Genomic DNA, 27,570 nt, shown 5'->3' with positions numbered 1-27,570 from the left:
AAGTGGGCAAATGATATGCACAGACACTTCTCAAAAGAAGACATTTATGCAGCCAAAAGACACATGAAAAAATGCTCATCATCACTGGCCATCAGAGAAATGCAAATCAAAACCACAACGAGATACCATCTCACACCAGTTAGAATGGCGATCATTAAAAAGTCAGGAAACAACAGATACTGGAGAGGATGTGGAGAAATAGGAACACTTTTCTACTGTTGGTGGGAGTGTAAATTAGTTCAACCATTGTGGAAGACAGTGTGGTGATTCCTCAAGGATCTAGAACTAGAAATGCCATTTGACCCAGTGATCCCATTACTGGGTATATACCCAAAGGATTATAAATCATGCTACTATAAAGACGCATGGATACATACATTTATTGTGGCACTATTCACAATAGCAAAGACTTGGAACCAACCCAAATGTCCATCAGTGATAGACTGGATTAAGAAAACGTGGCACATATACACCATGGGATACTATGCAGCCATAAAAAATGATGAGTTCATGTCCTTTGGAGGGACATGGATGAAACTGGAAACCATCATTCTCAGCAAACTATCACAAGGACAGAAAACCAAACACTGCATGTTCTCACTCATAAGTGGGAAATGAACAGTGAGAACACTTGGACACAGGGCAGGGAACATCACACACCAGGGTCTGTTGTGGGGTTGGGGGTTGGGGGAGGGACAGCATTAGGAGAAATACCTAATGTAAATGGCGAGTTGATGGGTGTGGCAAACCAACATGGCACATGTATACCTATGTAACAAATCTGCTCGTTCTGCATATGTACCTTAGACCTTAAAGTAAAAAAAAAAAATTATATTGTGCATGCCTACTTTGCATTGTATGTTATATTCCAAGTCAGTGCATTATCATTTACAGAATATTACTGTGTTGTAAGCACAATCTTATTTAACTCTTGTATTAACCCTGTGATGTAGGTATTATTATATCCATTTATAAATAAGGAGAAACAGGTTCCACAAAGCTGGACTATTTGTCCAAGTTCACACAGCTGCAAAGTAACAGAGCTGGTAGTTCAACATATATCTTCAGGCATCAAAGTTAGCGTTTCCCCTAAAAAGTTAGTTACAGTTTATTAAAAAACAAAATTAAACTAAACTAGAAACCATACTAGAGCCATCTCAATACAAGTATTTTATTTTGTATAAACTATAAAGCTGCTTCACTGCTAAATGAAACTGAAATCTAAGGAGGAGATCAATCAAATCAGTTTAAAGAATATATAGACATTTTATGGACTTATATGCATCTAAATATAGGAGTTATACCAACTTATTTAGGAGAATATTAGTGCCCCCAAATAAGGCTAGTGCATAGAAAAGCCTTTTGCACAGAAGAGGAATCCTTTGTTCTAACCATACATTCTTAAATTGTGTGATGAAGGTGTATGGAGTTCTACAGGTCCAATTGTGTTGGCTAGAACTGTATTAGCAGGGTACTCAATTCAACGTAGCCTGAGACAGTGATAATCTATTACTTTACCTAACTAGTTTCAGGCACAACTACAGCTCAGGGTTCAAAAGATGTTATCCGATCTCTCTCTTTTCTTTCATCTGTGGAATCTTCATTTTTAAGTATGCTCGAGGTGAGTGGCAATATGTATAATGTTCAAGTTCTCCACGTTTCCATGGATATACTTTCTTGCAATTTCAAGGAGAAAAGCAGCCCTTTTTCTCTCAATGTGAGTTGTTCAGAAATAAGTTAGCCGTGCCACAGAACTCTCTGTAGCTAGTAGGATTGGTCAGTCCTAGGTCTTTATTACCATCCCTTTAGCCCCAGGAGGGATGAATTCAGTCGCACTCAAATCAAAGGGATTAAACTGGATTATTGAGAATGAGTGAAAAGAGGTTAACCAAAACGATTCTGAAAGGGAAAAACAAAATAAAACAAAACAAAACGAAAACCAAAAACAAATAAACAAAAAAACATGTGTCCACAAAACACTCACAGCTTTGACAATATTAGGTGTGTGACCACTGGAAAGCCAGTAGGCTAACGTGTGGGAGAGGGACAGCATTCACAACAGCTACTTCACAGGATTCTCTTGGGGCTTAAATAATCACTGGAGAGAAAATGAACCTAAGACGGCATCTGGCAGATAGAAAGCATCTTATAAAGTTTGGTTTCTAATTGAGTAATCAAAGGTGGAATGGTTCTGAGCTAATCATATCACCTTATCTCAGAGACTTTACCAATTAATTACCAAGTCAGACTCAACGACATGGCAATTCTATTGAATGTGGAAAATTGTGAGCCTGTCTCACAATCATTGTCCTTTTTAAGTCTACTGAAAGCCAGGACTTTTCAGTAGAGGCTGTATGATGTGGCAGTAGTAACAACCACAATAACAAAAACTGTATTAACTAACACTTATTGCGTGCTGACCATGTACCAATAGTCTGGTAGGTAAGTAACATAGATTTTCTCATGTAATCTTCACCATAAGGAATAAAGTAGATATTATCATTTCCATTTTACAGATGAAGAAACAAATGTAGCAAGGTCAAGTAATTTACCCAAGGTCAAGTAGTTGACAAGGTTCGGACTGCCATTCAAGTGTGCTTCACTCCAGAGCCTGAGTTCTTAACCATGTGTTGTTCTTTTCCATACTGCCCTGCATGGCCCCATAATACCCTGAGGAGAAGACGCAACATGAAATAGCATTTGGCTGCATTCCAATCAGTCAACATATTCATCACTAGATACACAAAGAAAGCAGGTAGGTTGGATTCCCTATGCTGAACAAAACAATACAGGCAAATACATGCACTGACTTCTAACTTGATTTGGAGATTTAGCAACTCCATCGTGAAGACTTCCCTAACATCTCAGCTGCTGTATTTAATGGGACTTTTTGTTGATAACGTCAAGATGGATTGAAGAGAATTTATCTTTCTGATTTTCATTTTGAAAAAAATTGTTTAACCATCATGATTCTGCAGATATTTCTTATGGGAAAAACTATGGAGCTGTACACTGATTCTGAGAAGTGTTGAGATGCTGGGCACAGATGGCTTTAATTATTTGGGCAGCCACTGACAGATGTGATGGTCTAGGTTTCTGCTGCCTTGGACAGGTGTAAGCTATAGGATTTACCCAGAGGGAGTTGTGGAGAGCCAGAATTGGATAGAGCCCTGTGATGGCCCCTTATTTTGTCTTAATCCACCCCTAGGTACATGGTTATCATATTTCTTTGCCTCAAGGCATGGTCAAGTCAGTCAAACCTATCAAACCAAGTTTGTGTGCAAAAAAGAAAATCTCAAAGAGAGGAACATGCTGTTAGCAATTGGTCTCAAACTCTGCTCAGTTTTTTTACTCAGAAGCCTTTCTTCCCATTAAACTATGGCCTCATAATCAAAAGGATGTATGTTTATGTTCCTCTTTCTGGATCAAAATAAGCATGTTAACTTCTCCAATTGTAATCCACACAAATAATTTCAAAGAATTGAATGTCAGCCTGTAAAAACCTTCATTATTTTGTTCAACAAAGATTTGTTAAGCAAGCAATGGAGGGTAGGCAGACACACTTTCTGCTCTTAAGGAGCTACTGAATATTGGACCTCACAGCTGATAAGAATAGGAAAATCAGCACTTATTGTTGTCAAAGCTATGTTCTAGGCTCTGGGAATGCAGTGGTGATCAAAGTAGTACTTTTCTCCATGGAGCTTTCATTCTAGCTGGGGAAATGGACAAAAAAAACCCATCTCTTTCTCTATCCATATATGTTTATATGTGTACATATATATACATACATTTGTGTATATTTATATATGTATCTATATTAGATGGAGTAAATGTAATATACTAATTGCTATAACAGATTATATCTAAGGAATTGCATCTAGCTATGTATGTGAGTTCAACAGAAACTGTGCAGAGGAAATAGTTTCGTGAGCTGGGCTAAATGAACGTAAGAGAGAGGTCACCAAGTGGAAAGATAGAGGAACACATTCCAGGCTCTGCAACTCTTTGTTTCAAACAGCAGAGTTATGACTTGTTACTCACAAAAAGCTGAATTATGTCTCTTCCAAAATTCATATGTTGAAGCCCTAACTCCCAGTCCCACAGAATGCAACTACATTTGGAGATAAGGTCCTTAAAGAGGTAATTAACTTAAAATCAGGCCATTAGGGTGAGCCTTACTCCAATTTCACTGGTGTCCTTATAAGAGGAGGAAGAAACCAGGGATATCCTTGCACAGGGAAAAAGCCATGTAGGGACACAGAGAAAAGGTGCTATCTGTAAGTCAAGGACAGAGGCCTCACCAGAAACCCACACTGCCAACACCCTGACCTTGGACTTCCAGCCTCCAGAACTGTGAGAAAGTAAATTTCTATTGTTTAAGCCACCTGGTCTGTGGTATTTTGTTACGGTTGCCTTAGAAAACTAATACAATGTCTCATATGCAAATTGAAAGGAGAACAGTCTATACCTATTGCACAGAAAACTTTCAAATAAATATTTACTGAATTAAAATAAATTTGAGTTGCACAGCTGACCATATTGAGCACTTAAGACACATCATACGCAATTATCTAATAGAATCCACAGTCCCATGATGTAGATATTATTTCTATGTTATTTATGAGGAAACTGAGAGTTGGTGAAGTTAACTGGGTTGCACAGTGCCACATAGCTTGCAAATGAGCATGTATTTGAACCCAGACAGTCGGATCTGACAGCACATACTCTTAGTTCCAGCAATCTGGGGAGTGTAGAAGATCGTATGGAATGAGAGGAAAGGCCAATTCACGAAGGACCTTGGATTATAGCTATGGAGGCAGAATTATCAAGGAGTCAAAACCTAAGTCAGTAATTAGAAAACCTGTTATGAAATTACCTTATTTATTCAGACTGGCTTTAAAGTTATTCACAATCCATGCACATAACTCACCCCACCACCCCCATACCTCACATAGATACAGCCCTCCCAACCACTAATCTCCACCCTTGTGTAACACACATACACACAGACACACACACACACTGACTCAAATACTCTCCCCAAACTCCTCAGACAATACAACTTTTTAAGAAGTCCTTTGAAGAATGCCTTAAAGGATTTGAATCAATAATCTCCTCAGATCCTAAACGGGAGCTCCCCAGTTTGCTTTTTAATGATATCTCCCAACTCGGCAATCACAACTGCTTCTTACTGTTCACTCCTAGCTAGACTGGTCTATTCTTCGCCCAGCCCGTAGAGTATGTGTGTTTTTTAAATAAAGAAACAGACATGGAATTAAGTCTCCGTGTCCCATGTGCTTCATTATCCTGGCTTGTTGGGAATGTGTTAAACATACAGTGTGAGTTTTCATAAGTAGCAGAAAAGGATCAAAGGAACTTACTTTACCAAAGGTTTTTCTTTTCTCTCTCTCTCTCTTCCTTAAGCTGAGGTTCGGGTGATTCAAATCACACTAGGTAGTTGAGCTGATAAGATATGGGAGGAGAGATCTCCAGCAGTAGTTTTTATTTCAAGAAAAGAAAACTTTTTAAGTCATAAAATGTTCTCAGGTGTCTTTGATTTTTTTTCAGTTGAATTGCAAACCTGGAATTAGAAGACGTTTTGAAAAAATATGCTTGATGTCAACCCTAGGTAGTTATATAAATAGAGGGAATTGAATGAAGTTACATAGCCCAAAGATTACACCTTGCTATGCTGCTGAGATTTTACATACCAAAAACTTTAAAACTTTAAATGGACTACTTAAAATTACTTTCTCTACTGCATATATCCCCCTTAATAATAAAGTTTCTGTATGCTCTTCTGTAAAACTTTGAAGTGCTTGTTCCTAGAAGACTATGCAGGAGTGCTTGGATTGGGAGAATTTGAATACATCACCCTGAGATGAGATGTAATGTGAAGTTCAGGGGGAAACAAACTTGCTCATTTGATCGTATTTTTGCGACACATAGGGTTTCTTAACTTTCGGATTTCCCTAGACTAATTGAGTTTCCAAAGACAAGACTAGAATCTAGACGATCTCAAACTAGTCTAGAGTACAAGTTTGTAATGATGAGTCCCTGGGCTCTGGCTTATGTACAGGATTTAGACATTTTTCTAGGTAATACTGTATTTTAAAACATTGCTTTTCAAAATCTAGTTTTGTTAAATAAAAATCTATTACTTCTCTCCTTTAATTTTGCAGCTACTATTGTAGTATCATTTTTGCCAAAAATGGTTCTGAATATTTGCAGATTCATATATCTTTGATGTGTATCAGCAGATACTTTTTTATTTGTGTGACATCAGTGAAATGGTTAAAATTTCAAATGAAAGCTCAATAAAATATATTTGAGTGTGAAATAGGTCATGGCTAATCATGACCCTGAACAGATTTTTGTTGAGTTTTCAATTATTATTTTATGCATACTTTAGTAAGTTATAATCAGACTGCCCACAATTTTTGTATCTTGCTTTCGTCAAAGTGATTAAAGATTTTTTTACGTTACAATCATAGCAAAATATTTCACTTTCTAAATCTTCATTAAGGTGTGATTTAGACACAATAAGACTCACCCATTTTAACTGTACAGTTTAAAGATTTTTTGACAAATGTATACATTCATATCAATACCATCAAAGAGATGGGATGTTTCTATCAACCTCAAAAATTACCTTGTGCCTCTTCACAGTAAATCCTTTTTCCCAACCCTAATTAATACTGGGGCTAATTCTTTCTGTAAGTATACATTAGTTTTTGCCTTTTCTAGAATTTTATGTGAATGGAACCATGCAATATGGATGTGTCTGGCTTTTGTGTCTGGCTTGTTTCATCAGCATATTAGTTTTAAGATATATCTTTACTGTTGTATCAGAATTATACATCTATTTGTTTATTCATTCACCTGTTGATAAACAGTTGGGTTGTTTCCAGTATGTGGTTATCATTAATAAAGCTGCTATGGACATTTTTGTACAAGTCTTTTTGTAGACATATGTTTCCATTTTTCTTGGGTAAATACCTAGGAGTGGAATTGTTGGGTGGTAAAGTGAATTTTAATTTTTCAAGAAACTGCCAAATTGTTTTCTAAAGTGGCTATACTATTTTATACCCCCTCCAACAATGTATTAGAGTTTAATTTTTCCACATTCCGCCGACATTTGGTATTATCAGTCCTCTTAACTTTAGTCATTTAGGGATGTGTAGTAATCTGTTGTTTTGGTTTTACTTACATTCCTGATGATTAGCAATCTCGAGCATATTTTCACATGCTTTAGTGGATATTTATGTATCTTCTTTTTGTGTCTGTTCAAATATTTTGTCCTTTTTTATTGGTTTATTTATCTTCCTATTATTGCTTTGTATGAGTTCTTTTCATAGTCTGGAAACAAGTTTTTTAGTCACATGTAGGTACTGTGAACTATACCTTTATAGAACTACACTGAATTATGGCTTTCCTTTTTTTTTTTTTTTTTTTTTTTTGAGACGGAGGAGTCTAACTCTGTTGCCTAGGCTGGAGTGCAATGGTGTGATCTTGGTTCACTGCAACCTCCACCTCCTCAACCTCTGCCTCCCAGGTTCAAGAGATTCTCTTGCCTCAGCCTCCCAAGTAGCTGGGATTACAGGTGCCCACCAACAAGCCCAGCTAATTTTTGTATTTTTAGTAGAGACGGTGTTTTGCCATGTTGGCCAGGCTGGTCTCGAACTCCTGACCTCAAGTGATCCACCCGTGTCAGCCTCCCAAAGTGCTGGGAATACAGATGTGAGCCACCACGTCCAGTCCTGGCTTGCCCTTTCATAGTCCCTACAGTGACTTTGTGGGGTTTGTTTGGGTTTTTTTGGGGACAGAGTCTCGCTCTGTCACCCAGGCTGGAGTGCAGTGGCATGATCTTGGCTCCCCGCGATCTCCACCTCCCGGGTTCAAGTGATTCTTGTGCCTCACCCTCCCGAGTAGGTGGACTACAGGCATGCACCAGAACACCTAGCTAATTTTTGTATTTTTAGTAGAGATGAGGTTTCACCATGTTGGCCAGGCTGGTCTTGAACCCCTGGCCTCAAGTGTCCCACCTGCCTCGGCCTTCCAAAGTGCTGGGATTACAGGTGTGAGCCACCATGTCCAGCTTACAGTGACTTTAAAAGAGCAAAAACATTTTTGTTTATAATTTCAAACGTTTTTTTCTTTTATAGTTATTGCATTTTGTGTCTTAAGAAATTCCTGCCTTCAAGATTGTAAAGATTTTTCTCCTAGGTTTTCTTCTTGAAATTATATCATATATATATAGGCTTTGGATCCTTTTTGAGTTAATTTGTATATGAGATAACATAAAGGTCAAAATTCATTTCTTCCCATATCCATATCCAATTGTTCCTATCTAGCTTGTTAAAAAAGTTATTGTTTTTCCATTGAATTACCTTGGCATATTTTTGAGTCTGTTCTAGACAATTTATGCTGTTTCCCTGAGCTCTATGGATACTCTTATGTTAATACTATACTGTTTTGATTACTGTAGCTTTATAATGCATCCTGAAATCAGGTAGTATAAGCCCTTCAACGTCTTTTTCCAAACTGCTTTTGCTATTCTATTTTCTGCATTTCCATTTAAATGTTAGAATCATCTTACTGAACACAGTCATTATTATATAATCTCTGAGAGAGAGAGGAAGGGAGAATAAATCCCTTTGTAAAGAGAAATAAAACACATGCATTTTTCTCTCATATTGCTATACAGGCAAATATAAGATCAAGCTAAGTTGTTGAAGATGATTTGTTTATACATTAGAGTAGATGCATTCATTCTAGTAAGTAACTCTTCCTGGGCCTTAGTTTCCTTGTCTACAAAGTGAGATTGTTAGTATTACCAGTGGTTTTCAAATCCTGCTCTACAAAACCTCAGGGTTTAGAAGGAGAAATGTTGTGTTAAAAGTCTGAGCTGGCAGATTCCAGGGCTCTCAGCATCTCTCCATGTAGAGAAGATCTCATTGGTTAGTTTTGTATAATGCAGTTCTTTATCAGACTTGTTTTAAAAATAAGCATTTGCTAATAAAAACAATTTGGAAAACCACTGAATTAAACGGACCCTAAGTCTTTCAGTGAAGTGTTGCATTTGAAGCTATGTCATCTTTTAGTGGATTTGTCTACATAAGAAGCCCTGGGAAAACTGGGATTCTTTGCTGCCAAATATGACACAAAATGCCCTGAATATAACTTATGTTTCCAGGATATAGCCAGATCTGGGCTGATCCCAGAAGATGTTAGAATCAGAAGTCAGGTTCAAATTCAGTGTTCTGAGCACCTTCTACTATGGGCCAGGTGCCTTGACTGCATTCTAACACATCTTTCCTTACTGAACTCTCACAGGAGATCCATGTTACTATCACTATTTTGCAAATGAGAGCATTAGAACTCAGTTTAGTAAGCAATGAAGTTGAGATCTGAACTTAGCTTTCCTGACTCTTTCTATCACCTCTCATCCCCATCCCCAGTATCTTAGATTCATGAGCAGAGCCTAGGCAGAGTCTGGGAACCTGATGTGCGTTGCTAAATAGGCCAAGAAACAGGTGAAAAGCTTGGAGACTCAAAGGAAGAAACTAGAACCGGAACCCGCCTTCATGACTACTTCATCTCAAGAAAACCAAAGTCAAAGCACACCATTTGAAACTTGACTCTGCTATTTATTAGTTTTGTGATCTTGGGATAATGTTTTCACTTCTCTGAAACTCAGTTTCCTTGAACATGAAATGAGAGCAGTAAACCTCATAAGGTTTCTGTGAGAGAATTAAATGAGATAATGAATATGAAAATGTCTAGCTCAAAGTCTACAGATAGAAAGTGCTCACCCCCACAGTGCCACATGGGCAGACCATGGACACATCTGCAGCTGCAGCACTTTCGAATCAGACCCTCAACATGCACAAGAGAAAAGAAAAGAGGGCGGGCCAGGGAAATAAGATTATGGTTTCTAGGCAACCATGGAAAGGGAATAATATAAGGGGCATTTCTCTTAAGGGTGCTACATTGGCTACTTCACACAAAGATGCCCTGTCAGGTTTTAAAAGTAGGATACAACCATCAATGGATCTAGAGAGCCTTTTAATAATTTACAAGTCTTCAAAATTCCTCCCAACCATTCTCATTCTCATATTCTCTTTCTCTCTCTCCCCTTCCCTCCTTCCCTCCCTCCCTCTCTTGATTCTCAAAGTAGCCAGGGAGGAAGATATGAGAAATACTTTCATTCCAATTTTATAAATGATCAATCTGAGAAAGCTGAGAAAATTATGCAGCACACTCATGCGCTTGGGGCTTATATTCCCCCTGGGCTGTCATTTCTTTGAGGACAGGATCTATACCTTATTCTTCTTACATACCTTCCAGAAAGGTCCTCAAAAATAAAAAAAATAACTCAGTAGAAGGCACTAGTCTAAGGCTTGCTCAATCAGGAAGCTCAGCCATTGTTTTCTGAAGCAGAATCTCAGGCTAAATTTCAAGGTCGCAGATGCTGTGGAAAGCTTCTTCATTTGGCATGAATCCATTTAGGAATAACTTATTTTAAATGTCTTGGTACATTGTCATGTCCCACTGCTAATCCATTCTTCGTTTTTTTCTAATTTTTGAATAATGCATATACTTTTTTTGCAAGTGAGAAACAGCCCAGAAAAGCAAAAGAAAACACTGATTAAAGATAAATTTTCATTTTGCAAAAGAATCTTGATGCTAGCTCATCCTTCTGATTGGCTGTAAGTTGCAAGTACAATTAATTGACCTTGGACATAACATGTTTTAAAGCCAGAATGGGTGAAATTTCATGGGGGCATATTTATCTTCAGTTGAAATGCAACTTGCTGTCTCTGAATATCATCTCAGTCTGGTATTATCTCTGATTGAAGGCAGGAAGCGTTGTCCTGCCTATTAAAAATGTACTTCGTCTGGACCCAAAATAAAAATATGTCAAATGCTAAGAGACCCATATTTGAACCTTGACTCTTCAGATTTACAATGTTCCATTATGAATATCACTAAAACAGCTCTGTGTGTCCAAATAACTACTCGTCCTCCTTCCCCAGCTTGTAAAAATTAAGAGAATACAGCAGAATACTGACTTTCTTAGAAGAAAGAGCTTGCTAGGTAAAGGTTGAGATGCCCCTGAATCCTTAGTACCGCTGATCCTCATGTTCAAGTCATAAAAGTAAGACCAAGAAGACATGTTTTTCTTTGAACAATTTGAGGACTGGATTTTCTAACCACCTTTGAACCCTTTAATGTTCAAATTCCTCAGTGGCAAGCATTCCAAAGGCTTGCAGGACTCCTGAAATCTGAGAAGTCTCTTCAACCCAGAGACACGTTGAGCCTGAGCCGAGCTGAAGGCTCACAGATGTGGCTGCAGCCTGGTTCCCCGAACTGAATGAGGAGAACAGAACAACAGTAAATTGTTTAGATGATACTCCCTCTCTTTTCTGCCCACCCCAAAGCTTCCTTCGAGCTTCCTTCGGTGCCAGTGCCCCTTCTTTTATCACTTTGGGGATAGGGCTTGTCAATCAAGGGGGTTCTCTCACCTCCGGCCCATTCTGATGGAGGTGACATCTTTCCAGCCTCAGCCCCACCATGGGGGTGGCACTGACAGGCTTTCTTTGACTGTGTCACTCACAGCTGGAGGAGAGTCCAGCCTGGATATAAATCTCTCACAGCTTGCTCATTCTCCTTCATGAGGCTGTGGGGAGAATGATCAATGCCTTCCTACAAGGCTAGTTTGCTCAGTGAACCACAGAGAGAGAGAGATTACAAAGAGCCCATTTAAATACCTAAGACCCCTCCACTCCCTCCTCCTAAGTCATAGACTTGCTCTTAAAATTTCAACGGATGTATCTACGAATGGTAACCTCAGAGAGATGCCTAGCAAAGCCAAAAATACAATTTCAAGAGCGAACCCAGGCAAGCTTCCTGAAAATAAAGCCCTGTGTATATTTCGAAGAGGGTGCCTCTCCATCGTAATTGCCTGAGCTGCCAGTTGTTCCATCGGATGGAAAGCAGGCCCTGGGACAAATGAGACTGAGAGATTAGCAGGACATTATGGGGCACCGACAGGTGCAAGAAGACAAAAATTCATTTGCTGAGATGCTGAACTCCCGCTGCAGCCTCCAGGCTGGCAACAGTTCCTCTCTCCAAGAACCCAAAGGTATTTCTGGAGTGGCAGGTCATTTTACACAAGCCAGAAGTCTTTATTGGGCTTTTTGTGTTGTGCCCTGCATTCACTGTGCATTCCAGGAGTTAGCCTGTCTCTACGGCAACTGGTCACTAATCTGGCCTGCCTTTATTTCTCGTTAATGGACAGTCTGGAAGTAAGGGTGCAAGCTATGTCCTCTCCATGGCCTACTGGATGTATCATGCTGGAAACAATATTCGATAATACCATTATTACATATCCTGTTCATAACACTTGGTACATACCTTGTAATTGGTTCCCCTGCTACCAATTTCTTCCTTTGCAATTCATGTTCCTTCCACCCTAGCATCAGAGTGATCATTTCAACTTAGTAATGTTATTCTCCTCTTAAAAACACTAGGTGGCTTCTGGTCAACTATAGGTTGGATCCAATTCTTCTTTGGTATGCTCCAGAGAAGGGCTGTTCCACCCTGAGTCTTGCTGTGAAAAGGACATGGAGCCATAGCCAACCCATGATGGACATGTAAGCCAGTGATAAACAAACTTTTATTGTTGTAAACCCCTAAGACTGGGGATCATTTGTTACCTCAGCCAAACTTAGCCTAAATTGACTGAAAAAGTAGGTTTCTTGGAGGTCAACTTGTTTGATACATAAAATGACATTAGGGGAACTCTTAAGGGCCAATTTTGTCTTAAAGAAGACACATTTTGAAACAGTACACCTTGAAGTTGAAGCCTATTCCATTCCTCTGTAGAACCAGTATTTAGAGTCATTGAGAGGAGAAGTCTGACTCCTTCATTGTGATTGAAAACACCTTAATTTGGAAATTCCCTTATATCTAAAGAAAAAAATAAAATGAAAATCTGAGAAACAACCCACAATCTCAATGTATAATCTGGTTTCCAGAACAAGGAAAGAGATCTACACTTAAAAATTTCTACTCTGCATCAAATGCTATAGAAGTTTTATGTTTATAACTGGGGTCTCAGCATGAGCCTAAGCACGGATTCAGACATATCTGGAGATGTCTGACAAGTATGGGACAGGTCTGCCAAATGCCTTTTTGCATAAAACCATGGGGAGTTTCCTGGGAGCAAACTCAGGGAAGAGGAAGCCAGCCCAGTGGAGACAGCACTATCATTCTAAGATAGGTGTGGTGGCTGTTGGATTTTTCTCTAAGCATAGGCCCCGTGGGATTAATCATATCTGAGTACTCTGGAATGAGGAGGCGAAAGGAGACACCCAGTAATTGTCATCATAAAGGTCAGCCCTGCATTAGGACCCCTGTGATGGAATGTGCCCTTAAGCAGAGAGAGGGACTTTCTTCTCTGCTTTTCCTCAGAATGTCTCTGAAGCCCCAGGCCCTGTTTGCTTTCAGGAATTGTTTGCCTGTTGTTAGTGGCACTCAACAAATACCCTGCTGAGACAGAATAGTAATAATGGTGCCAGGAAGGAGACAACCCGAAGATGGCCATAAACCCTTGAAAATTCATTACATGGAGATGAGGTCATGTGTACACGAAAGGCCCAAAGCTATAGAACCACCATTGCTATTGCTGATGTAACCTCATCAATTTCTACCCAGTAAATCAACAATTATATTTCCGGTATCCCATCTGTGCAAAATATTTCTGTTACATTCTGAGCGCTATTCATGAGCAATACTCCTTGATCTTAAGGGGCTAGTCTCTAGCCACCACAGGCTGACAATGCTGGAGAAATTCCACCTGATCTTAAATTATCTCATGTATTCATAATAACTCCGAGTGAGATCTTTATCTTCTTTAAAAAAGAAAAGGAACTGAGGCCCAGAGAGGTTAAGTAAATTGCATAAGATAACACAGCTTATAAGTGGTAAACAAGAAAAGCAACTCAGATAAAACATAAACAATTAATTTTCAATGCAAGACAGCACTCCTGCTTATTACAAACAAAACAGAAAGATGAAGAAACAAACAAAAGCAGCTCTGCAGACCGTTTTTCTATGTTTCTGTGGTGGGGCTATGTCACCAGCTCTTACGCCCCGGGGAGAAAATAGCAGCTGTCAGAGGCTGCCCACCTTGCTTTCCCTCTAGCTTGTTCTCTAGTAGCTTCTGCAATTTTTCCCCATGCCAACCCGAGCCTCAGGAGTAATCAAATCAGTAACTGATATTCAGAAAGTAGGTATAGGCTTAGCTGAAGTGGATTTTGTATGTTAATTAAGTGTTTTATGGAACCTCTGAGATCTCAGATGACACTCAGTAAATATTCCTTACTGAATCCACAGAATCTGTGAGCGGGTTCTGTATAATAAAGCAATTTCAATGTCCTGACAGATGGGCCATAGAAATTGGCTGTGTGGCTGTGATTCCAAAAGATTATATACAATGAAAACTCTGGACAATAAGTGCTTTCTCTGATTGTCGTCTACGAACTGGTTACTTTCTAGATGAGAAGAACTTGACTGGTTTCAGCTTATGTTACAGGCAGAAGAGGGGTTCTGAGATGTTTGCAGTTCTTTTGTCCTGGCTTTAAGTTAAAAAAAAATGTGCTTCCAGTCTGCTCCCTGGATCTTGTATGAAATATTCAGCCCACTAAGTGCTATTTGTAAAGCATTTATCAAAAGGCTAGGAGTGATGGATTCCCTCCTCTCCTCTCGAGCTTACAGCCTTCTTTTACCCTGATTTCTCTGTAGGAGAGAATGATTTATGTTCTGTTGTACCTTCAGCTCTTTCAGACCAGGATTGCAAATTCTTGGGATGAGTTCACATGCATAATCCCCCAACATGTGCATGTGCAGACACACACATACACACACACACAAAATCAATTCAGGAATTCTAAATATTTAGACAGATACCCATTATGCAAAATATTTTAGAACCATCTATATAGAGACTTTAAAAAATATGAACAGAACAAATTCAAGAGTTTTAATTTGTATATTTAATCTAATTTGGACAATTGCATTAGAGCATTAAAATTTTACATTTTCTTTTTACTACTTTACCTTCATCAAAAGTCATCATCCTCTGCCCATACAGGCTGGTATATGCTCAAATGATGAAAGGAAGCTTGGGCAGTCCCACAATTAGATAAAGGCAAAATTGCCTATGGAAATGACCAAACCCTTAATTAGCTAATTGCAGGTGCAATTGGCCACTTGCACCATCAGTTGAAGGGCAAGTGGTTAATTGAGCCCACAAGTGACCTACTCAATCAGAACTAACAAATGGCTCATCAGATGAGGTCTCAGCCAAAATGTGTCTGCAAACAATAGCATGTGCAAAAAAATGCTCAAATCAGAGGCAGCAGTTGGGCTAAAAATAAAACCCCCAAAACAAGAGATAATTAGAAAAATAATCAAAATCAGAAAAATTCAATAATGAGCCATGATCATGGGAGGAGTGAGAAAGATGGGTGATGCAGCCATTTGAGGAATCAAAGGCCATAGATGCTGGAAAGAGCATCAGCTTTGGATCATCCTTAATCATTCTTATTCAGAAATTTTAGAAAAACGTGCCACTTTCTTCCATGGTGGGTTCTTGTTCATAGTGGGATTCCAAAGAGCTCATCACAAGATCCCATAAAGAATAGGGGATTGGGAAATGTAAATGAATGACTGAATGGATGACACTGCATTTGCTTATAGAAGACTAAGAGCACAAGTACAGCTACTTCATTAAATTGATGGTACTGAAGAGTTTGTTGGCTTTCCCCTCTACTGAACATTTTTGGTTTGACTGTGTTGCTACTATGTACAATTTAGGAAATGTTTCCTAATTTGTTGGTAGGAGAACATACCAATGACTATGAAGATATTGACAGAAGTAATAATAATGATTTGCACTCATCAGTATAGGCTGTACTAAATAAAGGTATAAACCCCGAAATAGTAGCCCAAAACAATAATGTATTTTTCTTGCAAAATCCATTCTAGGTATGCCTCTGGTTTATTTCTCCTCACCAATAAAGATTCTTTCTTTTTTTTTTTTATTATACTTTAAGTTGTAGGGTACATGTGCACATTGTGCAGGTTAGTTACATATGTATACATGTGCCATGCTGGTGCGCTGCACCCACTAACTCGTCATCTAGCATTAGGTATATCTCCCAATGCTATCCCTCCCCCCTCCTCCCACCCCACCACAGTCCCCAGAGTGTGATATTCCCCTTCCTGTGTCCATGTGATCTCATTGTTCAATTCCCACCTATGAGTGAGAATATGCGGTGTTTGGTTTTTTTGTTCTTGTGATAATTTACTGAGAATGATGATTTCCAATTTCATCCATGTCCCTACAAAGGACATGAACTCATCATTTTTTATGGCTGCATAGTATTCCATGGTGTATATGTGCCACATTTTCTTAATCCAGTCTATCATTGTTGGACATTTGGGTTGGTTCCAAGTCTTTGCTATTGTGAATAATGCCGCAATAAACATACGTGTGCATGTGTCTTTATAGCAGCAAGATTTATAGTCCTTTGGGTATATACCCAGTAATGGGATGGCTGGGTCAAATGGTATTTCTAGTTCTAGATCCCTGAGGAATCGCCACACTGACTTCCACAATGGTTGAACTAGTTTACAGTCAATAAAGATTCTTTCACTCTGTGATTCAGCTATCCTGACAAAGGACTTAGCCTTCACCCCTCAAGAGGGCAGAAAAGCAAAGACCTGTGCAATGAAATAGGGCTTTTCACTGACTCAGCTTGTACATGTCTTCTGCTCACACTTTATTGGCCAGAATTAGTCTTGTGCTCTTGTCTAACTGCAAGTGTTAGGGAGTATGGAGCTTCCACCTGCCCAGAAAAGAAGAGACCTGAAATAGGGTTGGGTAAACTCGTGGCATTTTCTCTGTCACAGAATCCAAAAACAAGGAAGAATAAATAATCTGTCTATTTGGAAATTTAAGCATACCTTTTGATAGAATGCTAGGTTAAAGAAGTAATCAAAATGTAATGTGAAAATAATTCAGAAATGATAAAAAGGAGAGCCTTTCATAATAAAACATGTGGACAGAAGCCAAATGGGGTGCACAAAAGGAAATGCAAAGCCATAGAACTCTGTATAACAAAAAAAGTAGACTGAAAATAAACGAGTCAGACCCTCACCCAAGAATCTTAAAGGAGAAGCAAAATAATGCAAAAGAAATGTGACCTGGGAGTTATTGAAGATTTTTAAAGGATAAAATAAAATCTATTTTAAAAAATAGATCATACTGATTAGAATTTTTAATGTGTTCTTTTTAAAGACTAATAAAGTAGACAGATTTTTGGGCAGTATTATCAGAGGGGGAAAAACAGATTTCCACGAACAGTCTTATGAACAATACAGGAGACATGAAAATAGATGTTGAAAGCTAGTAAATGTCATAAGAGACTACACTCAACAATTTCAACTGATAAATTTGAAACTAGAAAACTGATGAAGATATAGAAAAACAGTAATTATCAAACCTAGAAAAATTACTTTACTTAGAAGATTTTCTTTTCCTTACTTTTTTTCCTTAAAAATTAATTACTTGCTTCAGAGTTTGTGCTGTGCTCTGGGATATCAGTAGCAGGATTCAAATTCTGACTCTACCACTATTAGCAGTGTCACTTTAGCCAAATTGTTTAACCTGTCTATGATCTAGGTTCCTAATCTATAGCTATTCACAAGACTATTGCGAGAATATGGCAACACTTTACTAGTTGCTATTATTTACTAGTTTACTAGTTGCTATTATTCTTTAAATAGGACCTCAAGACATGGTTTTTAAGTGAGTTGGAAAAACAGATAAACAATATTTAACAGATAAACCATATTTATATTAGTTAAATATTGTTTAATATGGTTAAAAAACAGATAATCAATATTTTAATTATTTATTCCAAAATATAGAACAGATTATAGAATGTCATAATAATTTTTAAGCTGGGCATAGGAATAGACACCCAGATCAATCACAAATTCAGATATCTAAAGAGGTACACAGGAATATAAATGAGAGAAGTAGGCTTGATGTGAGACAAACCACAAGTGCATTTTTTTTTTTTTGGTTGATCTTTGACATTTTCAGTTTTGATAGAGACACAGGACCAAGAAGTAGCTCTCTCCTATAAGGAAAACAAATAGGCAATCATGGCTAAAATACCAACAGCATACGTGCGGTGATAGGGAGCAAAGGGAGTCATGACAACTAGGGAACAGAGGCCCCAATTAAACGGGGCATTGCCCTCTGAGCTGCAGCCAAATGACAACACTAAGAATTAAACTCCCAGTGTAACCTGATCATTTCATTTTTCCAAATTTTTACTTAGACAACTATTCTAAGCCAGGCAGGCCAACAAGGAGGCCAATAAAAAATTAATATATTAGACTACATAAAATTAAAAATATTTGCATTACAAAAGAAACCAACCATCTTAAAAGGCAACAGTCTTGAAGAAATATATGTAAAGTACAAAATAAAAGATTAATATCTAGAATAGTGCTGTCAAGTAGAATTTTTTGTGATGAAGGAAATGTTAACAATTTGGTGTATATTCTTTTGGATATCTCTCTCTATATTTATGTTCCTATGCAAGTACACACAAATATGTTGTAAAAATAATGCCCATAATAATAGTGATATTAGTACTGTTCAGTATGTGCCATACCCTCTTCTAAAGGTTTTTTATATGTTAACTTATTTGATCTTCATTATAACCTCATGAAGTAGGCACTACTGTTATGCCCACTTTGCAGATGAAGAGATTAATGCTTTGCAATTTTTCCAAGGAAATATAGTGAGTTTCAGACATACAGTTCCATCTTAGTCTAGTTCCACAGTCCATACTCTTAAAATTTATCCTACAGTTTCTCATATACAATTTTGTTTTGTTTTGTTGTTTTGAATGTCATTGTTTTGTTAAATATAAGTGGTATTTTATTGCACAAGCTACAAGTGGTATTCTTTGGTACAGTCTAGCTTGCATATATCCACAGAAGTACATAGAGATCTACTCCATTATTTTTACTATCTAATATTCTGTAGTGCAGAAGAGATATACTATAACCCATTCAGCTTTCTGACATTGTTAGAGATATCAGGGTTTTCAGAGTGTATCACATAAAATTTACCATCCATACAGATTACAGGGCGAAGAATGTCGCCTGGAGTTGTGCAATGTATTGCTCATGTGGCCTCACATTTAAGAATTTTCAACTTTTTTCAATAATACAAATGGTGTTGCAATGAACTTTCTTGTCCATCTTTATGCCAGTATTTATGTAAGGTGTATACCCAGAATTGGAATTTTAGAGAAAAGAATATAGACAGTTAAAATGGTGATAAATACTTCCAGAGTGACTCCGAAGATCCTATTAATACCCTCCCACCAAGAGAGTATGAGAGAATCCATTTTCTCCCACCTTAACTAAAATATATATTGCCAATCTTGTTTTTTTGTCAATTGCAAAGGGAAAACTGATATCTGAGTGAGCATATGTTTACTGGCCTTTTGAATTTATTCTTCCATTGATTGTTTTATATTAATACTTTATAAAAAGCATGTATTATTCTATATCTCCACTGTTTAACATGGTAGACGCTAGTCACATGTGGCTATTTCCACTTAAGTTAAAGTTAAATATTAATTTCCTCAGTAAGACTTGCCACATTTCAAAGGTGCATATTCTCTGACAGAAAGGAGGCAGTGGAGAAGACTAAAAATAAATGAGCAAAGAGAATTAGAAACTTCAGAGAAAATAATATGATCACAATAAAATAGCCATAAACATAGAAAGCTGGGAGTGGAAGGAAACTTGGAAATTTTCTGATTTTATAGTTTTTGAATTCTGTTTTGTGAAGTCCTGAAATTCGCTTGGTCCCATTTTCTGTTGATATGTGTACATGGGAGTGAAACTTTTAACATCCAAATTACAGAACGGATTAGTAAAAGTAGTCACTTTGTGAACTTTTTGGTAGGCTTTACTACTAATAGTGTGGTTTTCAACATGATTCTTATTTTTCTATACTGGGTTCACGCAGATGAAAACAAAGAAGATAGTTTACCTTAAACTGGCCAAAGAGTAATTGATGTGAAAGTAATGTCTGGGAAAAGCACGATGTAATGGCTTGCTTTAAAGCTACTATCCAATGTGTTCAAGTAGTCTAATGACTGTTTGATGGCACTGTATAGCCAAACACTAGGTGTTAACTTCCTACAAACATGCAAGCATCTTTCTAAACAGTGTTGGATCGGGCCATATAAATAATCAGTTATATTAAGATGCAGCCTTAAAACTGCAGTTGTTCAGAGTTGCTGGTAATTACATTGGCAGTATGTTCCAGAATAGCCTTCTTTACAGAAAGGTTTTATGATGAACTAAAGGCAAGGTGCTAGCATAAATATTTCAAAGATTTTAAGGAAGAAAAAAAAATGTGTGTATCAGTGAAGGAACTCCATTCATTAAGTAGCTAGCAAAAATACAACAGCTTTTCAGAATCCTGGTGTTTTCATGCTTATAATTGCAAATAAGGTGTCAGCAAGGAAACTGAAACTTGAAATTTCTACTGAATGGAAAACAAAGTAGATTTTTACAGCCTTGAAATATGACAGACAGAGGTGCTAAGGCATCTGAGTTTTTTTAATAAAATAACTGAGAAATCTTATATTGTTATCAGATATATTTGAAAAGTATTTCCTTCCAAAGACATTTCACCCAACTCTATAGAAGCCAGTTTATTAATACTCCCCAAATGAAACACTTACCAAGTAATGCAAAGTGAGTAGCTATTCGATGTTAGTGAGTTCACCTTGAGAAAAAAGATTTTATTATTTCTTTTTATCTTGACTAATTGTTAATGGAAGAATAAGCTTAACCACTGAAAAACTGTTATCTTTTGTAAATAACTTCTCTAACTGAATCAGGATTTTTTGTGCCATGAAACCAAAACAAATCAATGGAATAGCTGGATTCAGACACCAATTATCCCTCATAACCCCTGATTTCAAAATTTTATTGATATATAATTTTGAAATATTTTAGTTGACTTTATAATAGGTATAATTAAATAAATATACATGTAAATCTATAAAAATAGGTATATTTTTGAACTCAAAAATACTCTAAACACTGCCTTTTCTCCTTATATATTTTGGGTTCCTCGTATCTTTTTTTTTAAAAGAAACATCACTAGAAATAAAATAAAGTTGATTGAACCAACTCTTTCAATTTATAGAAAAGGAATTTGGGGAGGGGAAGCCACAGATTAGAGCATTCAATAGGTTCTGAGAGATTTGGGACTGTATCACTTACTCTCTGTGTGCTACTAGCTAAATTTCTTAATCTCTCAAAGTTTCAGTTTCATATAAGGTGCATGTAACAATATATTCGACATAACAATAGTGCCTAACTCAAGGGTGTTATTATAGTTAAATTAGATATAGTGAATTCTCTCTAAGAAGAAAAAAAAAACACAGTGAAAATTGCCCTGCATGGGAAAGTGACCCTGTATTACCAGAAACCAGCAGTACAGCCTGGACTCCCGGGCAGTGGTCATAATTCCATGAGTGTTCTCTCCATTATACTCATCTGAGTCAAACCCAGTAGAGAAGTTCACCTTAGGATGAAGACACATGGCTTCTTTTGAAAGAAGGAGAAAGGGCAGAAGTCCAGGGTGAGTAAAGGAAGATAAATTCTGAGATGGAATGTGGGCAATGGCTAGAAATCTTTTTTTTAAAGTGGGAGTTTATTTGTTGAAATATGAGCTTTTGAGTGACATGGGAAAAGATGGAAGCAGCTTTTGTAGGCAAAGAGTCAATTAAGTATGAGAATAATAAAATTTACTGAGCTCAATTTTCAGCGAAGTTTAGAGACTTTGGAAAAATATGGAACTTTACATTTCAGTAGAATTACTACAAGTTCAGGCTTTGCTATCCAGTAACTGTGTGGCTTTTGGCAAGTCTTCAATCTCTACATACCTTTCTTGTAAGGTTACTGTCAAGATTACATTAAATACATTAGATGAAGTTCTGGGCTGGTTGCTGAGGTCCCTAGGCCAAAACGCAGACATGTGACCCAGGTCCTTCTAGATCATGAGCTCTTTGAGGCCAGACACCATGTCATCCTCATGTGTTATTGAGTGTTGATGAACCCTAAACTCTTGTTTCTTATATTTTTTTATCTGAATATTTGACCTTTTGTCCTGCTAGTGGTGGCCCAATTTATGGGACCTGCTGCTTCACACCTTGGTCTATGTTACTACTCTAAGTTTCCTGGAATAAAATGAAAATGATGACCACTTTGTATAGGTATTATAGGATCTAGAAGTAAAGCATGCGAAGTCTTTAACATAGTCTCAGCACAAAGAGGAAAATTCAAGTTTTAGTATCTATTGTTTTCTGATTGTCTTCCCCTATGAAATGGGATAATAGTGAAGTTTTTCTGAAGTCTAAATAAAATGTTTAAAATATGAAAATACTTTTCAAATTATAAAGTTCTAAACATTAACATAATCGGCAGACAATAATTTATGTATCTTTAATAGAAGATAAAACAGAAACAGTAACTACTAGAACTTGAATCTTTCTCAGTACGTTCTCAAACTGAGGGATATTCTTCCTGCTAGTTTACTGGTTGAATGAGGTTTTTCCACCTGCACTCTGGAAATCATTCCCCATACCTTTTCCAAGAAAGTTGTTCTATAAATCTATAATTTGTAGCCTCTATAAGATCAAGCAGCAGCTAGTAATATGCACACTTAACAAATACATACTCATTTTCCAAGGACGCTATGGAGGAAATTCCTATGCTGGGTGGAAGACAGGACTAAAGTGATACAAATGTTGAATTGGAAAGCTCCTACCCACAGCAGTCCAGCCAAGAGGGTATTTATCTACCTTCTTAATAAGCACTTACAGTAACAGGACAAACATCGTCCCATCAGGCATCTCATTCAACTTTTAGAGCACCTTCATATTTGGAAAGAAATTTGTTATATTGAGCTAAAACCTACCTCTTCTTAGTACACAGTCTTTCCTCTGAAGCCATCAAAAACAGTTTTTTCCATCTTCAGTGTGAGTATGTCAAATGTTTTGAGATAGAGATCAAGCCTTTTACCATTTAAATATGCCATTTGCCATCATGCGAGGCAGCTGGAGAGAAAAGTGGTCACTGGGTTTAAGGAGCATCTCAGGCAGGGTTTTGCAGACTCTCTAACCACAGCCTGTCTGTTGATTGGCCATATCAGGTAGAAAGGAAGCCACAGGATATTACAAACCACCCAAATCTGCCCCTTCTCTAGAAATTCTCTTGCATACTTGTAAACTTTTGTCATTTTCTAGGGAGTATGAAGTAACACATTTGTAAAAGACTTGATTTTTGTGGGAAAAATCCTCCTATATATTTAATAGCTACAGGGATTATGATTCTATCTCACTTTTTTTCTGCCTCAGGTTCAAGTGCCTTTTTGTCAACTTTTTGGTATTCATCTCCAATCCCTTCTCATTCTTCATTTTCTCATTGTATAATTTCTTTCTTCCGTTTCAATAAGCCATTTGAGAGGTTCCCTCAAATCATTTTATCTTTGCCTCAAATATGGTAAGAAATTGGCATGGAACCTACCTGTAGTCAGGATGACCTCCAACAGGAAGAAGATCACAACAGGACAGTAAAACACCTCACCTTCTCTATGCCTCCTGATGACTGATAGGCCAGGGTTGGATTTTGCAGTGGACACAGTCCTGTTGTCTAATCCCAAGTACTCCTAACTGCTACCAAGGTGGGGACCCAGGTTTCCGGTTACTGCTAAGCCAATGCATCTATTACTTTGTCATCTCACTCTTAGTTGCCCAGGTATGAAATATAAGTCATTTCTATAGGTCTCTGCAGACCTAGTTCCAGATGCTCAGCAAGACATTTGTTTAGTCTCTGGATATTCTTCAATGGTGTCTGTAAACCACTCTCAGTCATACACTTCATGTTAACGGCATTTTATCAGTATTTTTATATACATTATGGAGATCCTTATAACACTTCTGTGATGTATACAGAATAGATATTATTAATAATTATCATTTTGCAGATGGAGGAGTCAAGGGTCTGAAACAATATGTTTTCCTGCACAGATTGTGAGTGTTAGAGCTAAGACTCCCATGCAGATCTTGGACCCAAAGTTTCAATTTAACTCACACTGTATTACTGATACTATTTATTCCTAAAAATAAACAGACAAAATAACCTACTATGGAAATTATGACTCTCTATGGAAATTATGAATCTCTAAGTACAAAGAGTTTTCACCTAAATTCTTCAATCTTGCCTTAAAAAAGCAGCTTCCTGAAGTATCCCTAGAATACTTTAATCCAAAGCTTGCTCTCTTCTCCTAAATCCAAGTTAAATCTGTTATCACTTCCACTTTGACTTTAAATTATATTAATTCATTCAATATTTTTTCCTTATACCAGAGAGCCAGACATTGGGAATTCAAGGTCAAGTAGGATATGGTCCTTGTTTTTGAAGAGTTTTACTGTGTAGTACAGGCAACAGGGAAATAAATCAGGAATTTCAACATGATTTTAAAATAGTATAAAAATAATAGTGTTTATAATAACAATGGCTAAGATCTATTGAGTACTTACTATGCGTCAGGTACCACTTAAACACTACGTATATGGTAAAAGAATTTTTACCATACACTGTATTATGATTTATATTTTCTTAAGAATACTCATTCCCTGCCCAATTTGTTTACAAATTTGTCAAAAACAAGAACTTTCCTGATTACCTTGTGTGTGTCCTCAAGTAAACCAAAATGAACCAGTTTGTGGTAGCAGCCTGAAGACTGTTAATAAACTAAACTGGGATGCAATTAAAAAAAAAATCCTAACTCGTTTTAATGGCAACTGTTGCCAAGAGACACTTTTATTATGAGAAACTGTTTTGTCTAGGTTGAGTAGAGATCATGAAAGGACAAATTTTAATGGCATTTGAACTGAATGATAGCTTTAAATGCACAAAAAGGTCAAAAATTGTTAAGATATAAAACATAACGTCTCACAGATCAAAAGTATATGTGAAGAATTAACCTTACAAGAGAGGGAGCAAAAGATAAAAGCAAGGAATTGGAGTATATGCCAGTCCTACCCAGGTTATGCCACTGCAATGATTAAAAATCTTAGTGGCTCAAAACAGTGCTTTTCAATCAGGAGCAATCTTCCCCATAGCCCTATTTGGCAATGTCTGAAGGCAGTTTTGGTTGTCACAACTGGGGAAGTGGGTGCTACTGACAACAAGTGAGAAACTGCCAAGGTTACTGCTCAACATCCTATACACAAAAGAGCTCTTTCACATCACTCCACCCCTGTATTAGTCTGTTTTCACACTGCTATAAAGAACTTCCCTGAGACTGGGTAATTTATAAAGAAAAGAATTGACTCACAGCTCCACATGGCTGGAGAGGCCTCAGGAAACTTACAATCATGGTGGAAGGGGAAGCAGGCATGTTTACATGGCAGCAGGCAAGAGAGAACGACAGTGCAGGAAAAACTGCCAGTTATAAAACCATCAGATCTCATGAGAATTTACTCGTTATCACAAGAACAGCATGGGTGAAACTGCCCACATAATCCAACTACTTCCATCCCTCCTCACATGGGGATTATGGGTCCCTCCTGCAACATGTGAGGATTACAATTCGAGATGAGATTTGGGTAGGGTCACAGAGTCAAACCACAGCAACGCCCTAAGAAAAAATTATCCAGCCCTAAATATGACTAGCTGGATTGAGACTGAGAAACTCTAAATTAAGATAACCAAGGGTTAATACTCACTCATACAACATGTCCACTGTGGATCATTCAGCTTAGAGCTTTGCTCTAGTGTCATCATCATCCTCACAACTCAGGATAACAGGGCAACATGACTGAGAAGAGAGACAGCTGTGGAGTATCTCGCAGTGGCAACTAAATGATCCAGTTCTGAAGTAACATGAATTATGACTTCCACTCAAACTCATTGGCTAGAACTAGTCCTGTGGTCCCACCCAAGCAAAAAGGAGCAAGAGAGTACAATTCTACTATGTGCCCCCCAAATGGGAGAGCTGATATGTATGATGAATAGCACAGATGAATGGTTTGAGGTATGGAGGCAGGGAATAAGAAAAATAATGAGCAGAACTGTTGCTGCTCTAATGACATTCCGAAGTTCTGAACTCAATGGTTTCACTTTGAGAATATCTTCAAACAAAAGGACAAATATTCACAACCAGTGTGGTTCAGGGACTTTTCAGCTGAAAATGGTTAGAAACAATGCCCATTTCACAATGTTATTAACATGTAAAAGCAATCATCATGGTGCTTAATTGCTAAGAAATACTCTTTAAACCCTTGTCCCTCCTCCTTTCTTTACAGAGTAGATTAACAGCAATAGCATAGCTAAAGAATGAACTTATAAAAAATGGGCTATTTGTTTTCCATTATGTAAGAGAGAAAAATATAAGTGTATATTTAACATATGATACTGGAGAACTTCCCCCTTTCTTGCAAGAATTGCATCAATTACCTTATGGATTTAAAAACTCAACCATCTCTCCTCACTTCTTTCTCCAAACTTTTGTTACATGGAGTTGTAAAAATTGGAAATTAGTTCATGTGGTTTCCTTAATTAAATCTTTTAATGACTTCCCATGACCCTCAATTTAAAACCCTAACTCCTCACCTTTATGATTGTTTTTTTTTTTTTTTTTTTTTTTTTTTGAGACAGAGTTTCACTCTTGTTGCCCAGGCTGGAGTGCAATGGTGCGATCTCTGCTCACCGCAACCTCTGCCTTCCGGGTTCAAGTGATTCTCCTGCCTCCGCCTTCCAAGTAGCTGGGATTACAGGCATGTGCCACCATGCCCGGCTAATTTTGTATTTTTAGTAGAGACAGGGTTTCTCCATGTTAATCAGGCTGATCTCGAACTCCCGACCTCAGGTGATCCACCTGCCTCGGCCTCCCAAAGTGCTGGGATTTCAGGCGTGAGCCACTGCGCCTGGCCTATGATTTCATTTCTTACTTCTCCATTTCTCATGTTTTTCTCTGTGGCCCAACCACTGACATTTTTCTGAACACAACGTTAATCTCTCAAGCTTCATGCCTTATTGCAAGCTGACTTCCTCTTTCCTCTGGCCTTGGCAAACCATACTTTGGCCTTAAAAAGTGCCAGCCATAACTCTCGTCAGGAATACTTTCCCTGAGTTTTCTCACCCCTATATTCATTTCTGTGATAATATTTATATATTACTTGACTGTTTATGTATCTGACTGTTTTATGTAAACTGCTTCTAACGGGGCCACATTTCCTGTCAACATCCATACAGCCTAGTACAGGGCCTGACATAGAACGGTATCTCAGTAAATGTTTTCTGAATCAATTATTAAAATATAAATTTTATTTTGCTACGTCTTCATAATGATCATTTTAATAACTTTATATTATTTAG

At 37.6% G+C, this 27,570-nt stretch overlaps 2 long non-coding RNA genes across 3 annotated transcripts in view; both read right to left on the bottom strand.

The window, feature by feature from the left end:
- LOC107987108 (uncharacterized) overlaps positions 1-27,570 on the bottom strand; it is a 675,821-nt gene that overhangs the window by 268,393 nt on the left and 379,858 nt on the right. The gene's annotated exons all lie outside the window — the stretch shown is intronic.
- Positions 1,094-26,802, bottom strand: LOC124902240 (uncharacterized). The gene is made up of 2 exons (XR_007061716.1): positions 25,920-26,802; positions 1,094-23,243 (listed from the first exon to the last, which is right to left on the bottom strand). It is a non-coding gene; the product is annotated as an uncharacterized LOC124902240 (long non-coding RNA).

This window comes from Homo sapiens, chromosome 9 (assembly GCF_000001405.40).
Source record: "Homo sapiens chromosome 9, GRCh38.p14 Primary Assembly".
NCBI lineage: Eukaryota > Metazoa > Chordata > Mammalia > Primates > Hominidae > Homo > Homo sapiens.
The sequence above is the reverse complement of the archived record's forward strand: the minus strand, read 5'-3'. Positions and strand labels throughout refer to the sequence as shown.